The sequence below is a fragment of the Homo sapiens genome, chromosome 17 (assembly GCF_000001405.40).
Source record: "Homo sapiens chromosome 17, GRCh38.p14 Primary Assembly".
NCBI classification, from domain to species: Eukaryota; Metazoa; Chordata; class Mammalia; order Primates; family Hominidae; genus Homo; species Homo sapiens.
Genome location: NC_000017.11, coordinates 40,166,025 through 40,175,683, shown reverse-complemented (window position 1 = coordinate 40,175,683; position 9,659 = coordinate 40,166,025). Strand labels below are relative to the sequence as shown.

The 9,659-nt window shown below is 45.9% G+C and overlaps 1 protein-coding gene across 4 annotated transcripts in view, besides 1 other annotated feature; it reads right to left on the bottom strand.

The window, feature by feature from the left end:
* Window positions 3,513–9,659, bottom strand: part of CASC3 (CASC3 exon junction complex subunit) — a 31,635-nt gene continuing 25,488 nt past the window's right edge. For 2 of the 4 annotated variants that reach the window (XM_047435624.1, NM_007359.5), the window contains 7 exons: window positions 8,823–8,887; window positions 8,072–8,186; window positions 7,736–7,834; window positions 7,267–7,481; window positions 6,238–6,360; window positions 6,022–6,086; window positions 3,513–5,237 (listed from right to left, as the gene is read on the bottom strand). In XM_047435624.1, the coding sequence (XP_047291580.1) occupies window positions 6,063–6,086; window positions 6,238–6,360; window positions 7,267–7,481; window positions 7,736–7,834; window positions 8,072–8,186; window positions 8,823–8,887 (641 nt within the window). In that variant the 3' untranslated portion in view covers window positions 3,513–5,237; window positions 6,022–6,062. Of the gene's footprint in view, window positions 5,238–6,021; window positions 6,087–6,237; window positions 6,361–7,266; window positions 7,482–7,735; window positions 7,835–8,071; window positions 8,314–8,822; window positions 8,888–9,659 lie in introns of those variants that run through there. The other 2 variants (XM_005257163.3, XM_047435623.1) reach the window with 2 other exon arrangements.
* Window positions 7,061–7,620: an enhancer, noted in NCBI's record as "NANOG-H3K27ac-H3K4me1 hESC enhancer chr17:38324317-38324876 (GRCh37/hg19 assembly coordinates)". NCBI's record gives its function as "activates a minimal SCP1, AML or CMV promoter by ChIP-STARR-seq in primed H9 embryonic stem cells {active_cell/tissue: H9 hESC(primed)}" and the evidence as "EXISTENCE:reporter gene assay evidence [ECO:0000049][PMID:30033119]".

The following is a 9,659-nucleotide window of genomic DNA, read 5'->3' as shown; positions in this document are numbered from 1 at the left end:
TGGTGGCACACACCTGTAATCCAAGCTACTTTGGAGGCTGAGGTAGAAGGATTGCTTGAACCTGGGAGGTGAAGGTTGCAGTGAGCTGTTATCATGCCACTGCACTCCAGCCTGGGTGAGAGACTCCATATTAAAAAAAAAAAAAAAATACTGGCCAAGTGCAACAGCTCACGCCTATAATCCCGGTACTTTGGGAGGCCGAGAAGGGTGCAACATGAGGTCAGAAGTTCGAGACCAGTCTGGCCAACATAGTGAAACCCTGTCTCTACTAAAAATACAAACATTTGCTGGGCATGGTGGCTGGTGCCTGTAATCTCAGCTACTCAGGAGGCTGAGGCAGGAGAATCGCTTGAACCCGGGAGGTGGAGGCTGCAGTGAGCCGAGATCATGCCACTGCACTCCAGCCTGGGCAACAAGAGCAAGACTGTCTCAAAAAAAAAAAAAACAAACAAACAAAAAAAAAACTGATGCCTAGGCCATATCTCAGACCAATTAAATCAGATTTCTGAACCAGGGCGAAGGCTTATGGTATTTTTTAAAAAGCTCCTCACATGACACAAATGGCCAGGATTGAAAATCACTGCCCTAGACGGACAGTCAACCCAAGTGGGCTGCAGATGCTGGGAGCTGACTTTGGAATTCCAAGTCTTTGGTGCTCCGAGTTGCCTACAAGGTAGCAGGTCTGTGCGCTGACCCTGAAGGGGAAGAGAGCTGGCAGAGCATTTGCACCCGCTTATGGAAGAAATAAAGAGGAAGGCAGGGTGGTATGAATAACAACTATGAGATGGGGGCGAAAAAGCTTTGAGCTTTTTTTGAGCCCATGGGCTTCTACAAGGGGACTGGGCAGGGCCACCTCAGGCTATCTGTCTGCTGCTTACACACCCTCTTCTTTCTGCCCACCCAGAGGCAGGCTGGGAGGATAGAGAGAACCTGGGGGCTTTGCTGAGCTTGAGTTTCTTCTTGCAGAGCTGGTTACCAGGGCAACAGAGAGAGCAATAGGGTCTAACTGAAGGACTAGGGAAGCAAGAGGCAAGGGTAAAGGGGAAGCATCCAACACTCAAACCTCCTGCCAGTAACCCACCCCCAAGGCTGGATGGCATTTTTTCATAACCCCAGGAGATCAGGCCTACAGTCACCCATCACATTGTGGGGAAGAGAAGCAAACTGACATGATTTAAAGAGGAATTAGGGGCCCAGCGTGGTGGCTCACGCCTGTAATCCCAGAACTTTGGGAGGCCAAGCTGAGCCAATCACCTGAGGCCAGGAATTTGAGACCAGCCTGGCCAACATGGTGAAACCCCATCTCTACTAAAAATACAGAAAAAAAGTAGTGGGGCATGGTGGCGGGCGCCTGTAAACCCCAGCTACTTGGGAGGCTGAGGCAGGAGAATCGCTTAAACCCGGGAGGTGGAGGTTGTGGTGAGCCGAGATCGTGCCACTGCACTCCAGCCTGGGCGACAGAGTGAGACTCAGTCTAAAAAAAAAAAAGGAATTAGGGACGGGGCTCAGAAAAGTCACAGTCCTCTGGCTGTGGCACCAGCACCAAGATATGGGGGAAGTCCCATCTGTCTTTATAAGATGTACAATAGTTGGGCACAGCAGCTCAAGCCTGTAATCCCAGCACTTTGGGAAGCCCAGACAGCGGGATCACTTGAGCCCAGGAATTCAATGACCCTATCTCTACAAAAATAAATTAGCTAGGTGTGGTGGTGCATGCTTGTGGTTTCAGCTACTTGAGAGGCTGAGGTGGGTGGATTGATTGAGCCCAGGTGGTCAAAGCTGCAGTGAGCCACGATTGTGCCATTGCACTCCAGCCTGGGCAATAGAGCAAGACCAAAAAAAAAAAAAAAAAAAAAAAAAAGATGTACTATGATATCTATGCCTCCCGTGTATGGATTTGTGAAACCCAACAAATGCTGCCAGCTCCATATGAAAGTTGCTCTCCCATACCAGAGATAGCTTCTGTAGTAAACTTCCATCCCACCCAGGACCTAGAGGAAAAAGTCACTTCAAAGGTAGGAACTGCCCTCTAAGCATCAAAGGCCAAGTGGACTAGGTAAACTGAATTATGACCCACAGTTGATTTGTTTTTTGAAATCATGTGTCCAGGCAGGTTATGTTATCTGTCCATTTCACTTTGGGATATTAGTGTTGCAAAATATTTGTTATAAGAAAGGAACATTGGGGCTGGGTGTAGTGGCTTGCACATGTAATCCCAGCACTCTAGGAGGCTAAGACAGGAGGATCATTTGAACCAAGGCGTTCCAGACTAGCCTGGGTAACACACTGAGACCTCGTCTCTACTAAAAACAAACCACAAAAATTAGCTGGGCATGGTGGTGTGGGCCTGTAGTCACAGCTATTTGGGAAGCTGTGGCAAGATTGCTTGAACCTTGGAGTTCCAAGTTACAGCAACCTATGATTGTGCTACTGCATTCCAGCCTGGGTGACGGGCAAGACCGTCTCAGAAAAAAAAAAAAAAGTGACTTTGGATCTGGTAGGGTGGAGAGCCACTGGCAAGGACATTAAGAACACAGACTCAGACTTGGCCTTGGGAGGCCAAGGCAGGTGGGTCACCTAAGGTCAGGAGTTCAAGACCAGCCTGGCCAACATGGTGAAACCCCATTGCTACTAAAAATACAAAATTTGTTGTACAAAAAATACAAAAATTTCTACTAAAAATACACACACACACACACACACACACACACACAAATTCCCTTCCCCTTACCTGAGCTGATAGTCTCTCTAAGACTGTGTGGTCCTGAATACTTTAGTGTCAGCATCTTTACTTTTCCTTTTTTTTTTTTTTTTTTTTGAGACGGAGTCTCACTCTGTCGCCCAGGCTGGAATGCAGTGGCGCAATCTCGGCTCACTGCAAGCTCCACCTCCCGGGTTCCCATCATTCTCCTGCCTCAGCCTCCCAAGTAGCTGGGACTACAGGCACCCGCCACCACTCCCAGCTATTTTTGTATTTTTAGTAGAGGCAGTGTTTCACCCTGTTTAGCCAGGATGGTCTCGATCTCCCTGATCGAGATCTGCCCACCTCGGCCTCCCTAAGTGCTGGGATTACAGGCGTGAGCCACGGTGGCCAGCAGCATCTTCACTTTTCAAGAAAGCTAGCTACCTGTACTTCCCCCCAACCCAGGACTTGGTATAGTTATATTGACATCTGATGGCATATTACCTTGGGAAACTTACTTGCCAAACACAAAGGAAGCCATAAAGGATACTAGATGCTCATGTGAATAACCAGCATCTCACTACTTTTCTGTCCCTGACACTTCCAATCTAAGGGATGGCATGACATCCTGGTGATCTATGTGGTTAAAAAAGATAACTGATGGGGAGTGCAGACACATTTATGGCCTCATAGGGGCTCCTCATCTCTCTGGGCTTCTGTTTCACAACTTGGGCTGACCTGAGTTGTGACCGTGACCCTGTGGGGGAATTAGGGAGTCCTCTTCCCTCCCTCCCAAATCAAGACTCATGCAAAACACTGGCAAGGGAGCCAAGTTTATAGTCTAAATTTTATTATCTCCAAGTCACAATGCTGATCACAAATGGGCACCCTTTAAAACAGTAACAAAAAACACCACCACACATGGAAAAATCCTTGCAACTAAACACAGTGGACCAACAGAGACAACTCTCACAGTGTCTTAAGGTCTGGGAATCTGGGCATGCTGCCCACAGGCTTGAGGAGACATCTTCAGGTTTAAGGCAAAGGGAACAGCCTACAAAAGGCACAACCACCAGCTACCCCTAGAAGAATCTCTTAGTTATTTCCTCCTTGGGGGTTACAGATTAAGTGCCTCTCCCCACTCTCCATCCCACACCTGTGACTCAGAGTGATTAGGCCAGCTGCTAGATGGAAGGAATAAAAACAGTGACATTACCGGGGAGAGACACAGCCACCATCTTTGCCCTCAGGTTCTGTAGAAGGACAGGGACAGTGGCCAGGTTACCCCTGGCAGACGTATGTACTGCAGTAATAGGAATCTCTTCCACAGAGGCAGCAGAGAAGTGGTTTAGTGCCATGGATAGGGAGGAAAGATAGGAGCCCTTGCCCAGAAGGTGACTGGCTTCCTTAGGCCTTAAGCCCAGGAGTTTTTATATTCTGTCTGCAAGGACAAAAATAGAATTCGGGGAAAATAAGGTAGTAACATCTAAAACACTTGTAGCAGGAAAGACGTGGAGAAGAGCAATTGCAAAGGACAGGGTAGACTGCTTGCTGGATAATATTTGCCTTTAAAGAGATGCATTGGTCCACAGCAACTGGAAAAGGGGTGTAGCAAGAAGAATGGAAAGAAGAGAAGCAAGGCCCTCTAATTCCACTTACCTCAAAAGACTGAGCCCTGAGGACTATGTGAATACACACCCCTAAAGGCAAAGGCTCTCACTCCACCATCCCTTTCTCACAAAAGCATCTGGTGTGCCATCTCTCCCCACAGTAGGGTATTGGCCCTCAGCAGAGAACAGAAGCCCATCATAGTACAGGTATTGATGGATGCTCAGACTCCTAAAAACCTAAGTCAAAGAGAAGGGCTCCTACCCACCTACTCTGAGCTTTTCTGCACAATGGGACCCTCTGTGCAGACAGCCATGCTTCCACAGGGTTAGAGTTAAGGGAATACAAGTATACAAGAGGATAACAAATGCCAACTAAAAGTGAAAGGCCAGGTCTTTTTAGACTTGGTGGGGAAGGCTGGCTGATACATTCTCCATTATCTGGGATGCACGGAAGAGTCAAAAGGGAATCCAGAGGGGCTAGAAAACCAGAAGACTAGACTTGTTTCATTTAAAGGCAGGGAGAGAGAGCAAGAAACAGAAACAAAGAGAAAAAATTAAAATAATATTAAGGATAAGAAGCCAGGCTTTAAAAATGAACATCTTAGAAAACAAAACAAACAGGAAGGAGCTTCCTTGGGAACAGAAGACACTTCAATTTCCCAGAAGTGAAGAACAGCAGAAGACATGGGCTTCTGTATCTAGACTCAGAAGCTTGGGGCTGTCTGGCTCTCTCTGCTCCCCCGAACACAGCCAACTCAAGTGAAGAGTGAAGATGGGACGAGGTCCACTTGTTTCTCCCTCTCTCTAGAGCCTGTCCTCAGAGGAAGGCAGGGGTCCTCCTCTTTCAGCTGTTTGCTGGTAGGAGCCACACCCTATATCTTTGAAGCCCTTCTGGTAGTAGATAGCCAGCTGTATTTCTCTTCTGAGTTCTCACCTCTGCTGCTCTGACAGGGGTTGGAAAAAGGGAAGAACCACCAAAGTGTTAGTGGGCCTTCTGGGCATTCACAAGCTGTTTTCAAAAAGCCACACTTCTAAATAATGTGTTTTAAGTAATGTCCTTAAACAAAAGCAACAAAACCCCCAGTCCTTCTCCTCTATGATCTTTAGAACTGGTTTTTTCTGCTATAACATCTCAAATTTAGATTTCCCTTTTCCTTGACTGCCTTCCTGTATTTTTTCCTTGTAGCTTCCCAATTGAAAACTGTCATGTTAACAATCGTTTCTACTTCAACCCTGCCCAATACACTTGCCAAACAAACAAACTGGCAAATTTCAGGACTCCTTTAAGCCTCCTGAGATATCCCATGATTATTATAACTTAAAGCATTAATCAGAGGCTGGGTGGGGTGGCTCACACCTGTAATCCCAACACTTTGGGAGGCCAAGGCAGGTGGATCACCTGAGGTCAGGAGTTCAAGACCAGCCTGGCCAATATGGTGAAACCCCATTCCCACTAAAAATACAAAAATTAGCCAGGTGTGGTGGTGCGTGCCTGTAATCCTAGCTACTTAGGAGGCTGAGGCAAGAGAATCGCTTGAACTCAGGAGATGGAGGTTGCAGTGAGCCGAGATTGCACCACTGCACTCCAGCCTGGATAACAGACTGAGACGCCGTCTCAAAAAAAAAAAAAAAAAAAAAAAAAAAAAAAGCATTAATTAAGTGATTTTTGTTTATTAAGCAAGTGTGAGCATTAGTTTTAACAATATTCACAGTAAGTTGTGCACTTACTTTTATATGATGTTAAGATTTAAAATATTCAGAAACTTGTATTAACTGGAACCCCTGCTTACAACCTGAAATAACAAAGTTGGAATTTGTTATCAGGTCATAACAAAAAGACTGTTTTCCAGAGAAACACACCCAGAAAATGAGGGAAATCCTCTGGGGAGAAGGAAAGCCCACTGACGGAGCATGTGCATTAAGTATAGGAAGGAACTCTCATACCTCAGGTGGAGGGGGCTTGATGGTGACTGGCTGGGGAGTCCTCCGGGGTGGGGAGGGCTTTGGCTGCACCTGCTGCTGGGCGGGGTTATAGTAGGTCACTCCTCCATATACCTGTGATGGGGCCTGGGACCCCACAAGCCAGGAGAAGAAAAAGTTAGGAATGAATTCATCCAACCTATGATGAACAGGAAATATTATTCAGCCATAAGAGAATTGGGGAATTTATAATTTTAAAAATATCTAATCTGCCCACCCTTCAAAATAAAGTGACTATTCATTTTTGCCTTAATTCTTCATTATTATGCTCTGGTTTTTATTTCTTCAAAGTACTGCCCAGCTTTCTCTAATTCCTACCATCAGCTGACAAATGGAAAAGGCTGAGTTCAGTAGCGACACTACAGATACTTGATTATGTCAACGTGGTGGAAGTTAAGCAGGACAGAGGTAGGGGTGATAAGGAGTAGAATACAGCTTCTTTATGCAATAGAGTAAAAACCAGGTATTGCCACCTATGATGTACCACAACACAGGAAAGAAACACCATTAAAGAAACTGAACGCTGGGTGCGGTGGCTTATGCCTGTAATCCCAGCACTTTCGGAGGCCGAGGCAGGTGGATCGGTTGAGGTCAGGAGTTTGAGACCAGCTTGGCCAACATGGTGAAACGCCATCTCTACTAGAAATACAAAAACTAGCCGGGCATGGTGGCAGGCACTGTAATCCCAGCTACTCGGGAGGCTGAGGCAGAAGAATCGCTTGAACCCAAGAGGTGGAGGTTACAGTGAACCGAGATCACGCCACTGCACTCCAAGCCTGGGCAACGGAGAAAAAAACTGAAAAGAATAAAGATGATGGGCATTACATAAGCTGCATTTCCAGCTCCTGACCACTAAGAGGCGTCTTGGTGTCACATACAAATCAGTGGCACTGAAAATGTTCTCTCAAATTCCTTTAGCATTCTCCCCATACCACATTCCTGTCTGAATTAAAGAATGTGTATCTAGAAAAACATGATCATTAGCCATCTCACCTGTGTATTAGGATACAGATGAGGCGGTGGTGGGGGAGGCAGTGCCCCTGGAGCATAAGGGTAACTGGGATTACCAAAGTTCATGACGCCTGGAGCAGAAAAGTAAGTAGGAGCAAGCAACTGCTGAGGTGGTGGCTGTCCTGGAGACATGGACACTGGTGGGGGATAGAGGCCTGGATTGGGCAGAGGAGCTGGTGTCTGGTGGGGATGTAAACCTGGATAAGGAGAAGAAAAAAACTGAAAAATAAAGTAACATCATTTTCACAGGATGGCCCGGCTGGACTGCTCAGTATAATCAGGCTCAGAATGGAAGTCCTCAGGATGGACACAAGAGGAACTTGTTGCCCAAGCAGCCAGGATGGCCAGACTCCCAGGCTAGCAGCACAAAGCTCAGGAGGATGGGTTTTGTGGCACTCCCAACATATATCCTCAGGTACTGGAAGCATATAAGCAGAGACACAAAGCTTACCTGGGTGGGGAAGGTTCATTCCTGGCTGCACAAGCATGCCCTGTGGAGGCAGCGGGGCAGGGCTGTCACCATGGGTATAGATTGGTCCCTGGAACTGCACTGTAAGATATCACATTGGGACTCTCATAAACCCTTACTCTTCACATGGACAAGTCTCCTTGTTCCCCAAGCCCTTTAAAAGATGTTCTCAATATTCCATGCGAAGAAAACAGCAACCAGACAATGTTTGATAACCACTATAAGAGGTCAGAAGAGAAATTCAGGAGCCAGGAGCCTGGTATCTTACTTCACTTCACCCTGCCAAGAAAAGTACCCCAACAGTAAGAAAAAACTCACGTGGATCATAGTAATGTCCCTCCATGATACTGATATGCACTGGAGGGGCGGGGGGCTCTGGCACAGGTCTTTGCCGCTGGGATGAATAGCGTTTGGCTCGACCACCCTGGACACCCTGAGACAAAGAAAGAGGCCTAAACAATAAGAATTCTAGAGGGCTCTCATATCAAGTCCTACCTTCCTTTAGGTGTTGAAAAACACTTGGTACATGGCAGGTATTTAATGGATATTTGCAAAGTGAGCTGAAAAATAATGAAAAGATATCAAGATTTGAACCTAAACCTTCTACCTTACATTTAGGAGATCCAAATTAAAAGAAACATGCATAATCAATGGAAAAACTGACTTTATCTTGGCCGGGCGTGGTGGCTCATGCCTGTAATCCCAATACTTTGGGAGGCCAGGGTGGGTGGATCATGAGGTCAGGAGTCAGGACCAGCCTGGCCAACATGGTGAAACCCTGTCTTTACTAAAAATACAAAAATTAGCTGGGCATGATGGCACGTGCCTGTAATGCCAGCTACTCGGGAGGCTGAGGCAGAATTGCTTGAACTGGGACCCAGGAGGCAGAGCTTGCAGTGAGCCGTGATCCCGTCACTGCACTCTAGCCTGGGCAACAGAGCGAGACTCTGTCTCAAAAAAAAAGAAAGAAAGAAAAGAAAAAAAAAAAAGACCTTATCTTGGTTTAAACAATGAACAAGCTGTGTAACAGGCAGCTCCCTCCCCCATCTACCCCTTTCCCCTTCTGTACCATTTCTTCCATCCGGTTAAACTGAGGTGGAGGTCCTGCTCCCATGTGTATATGGTTGGGCATACCTGTAATACACCAAAAAAGTCACTTCTGCAGATCAGACATACGTGAGTGGGACTCAAAGATACTATCAAGAGACAGGTTTAAGTGTCAACATAAGGAATGCCTTTTTTCTTTTAACTAATAAAATTCTCTATAAACTATCTCTGCTTTCTGTCAACACCAGCATTTAGAAATTTGTCCCCACTGTCTGCCATCTTAATATAGCAATAAAGCCCTTGAAAATGAAAAATAAAATGACTTCAGTGAAGAAAATCAAATTCAAATTTTTTCCTATCAAATTGTTCCCTGCATAGAATCCCTGAGAGATTATAATTAGCACATTACATTATCCAACATATTGAAAAATCTCAGCCCAAGAGTTTCTGAGCAACAGCTGGACAAGGGAGGGATGCTTTGTAAATCTACTTGATTATATCCATTCACAGGGGTCTGGGTTGGAAGTTTGAAAGGAGATTCTCCTCTGGCTAAAATGACTCAAGACAAAAAGGAATGTTCTAGAGATTGTCCTCCAATAGTAAGAAGGGTGCTGCAACTCCAATTGAGGAGTTCCAATATTTAAGTTAGATTTCAGACTAAGGGAAGATCCTTTGATCTATCTGGCTGGAGAAAAACAAACCACAATAGGCAAAATGGGTAATAGGTAGGTCTTACTCTCTAAAACTATGCTGCCCAATATGATATCCACTAACCAAATGTGGACACTTAAGTTTCAATTAATTAAAAGTTCAATTCCGGCTGGATGCAGTGGCTCATGCTTATAAGCCCAGCACTCTG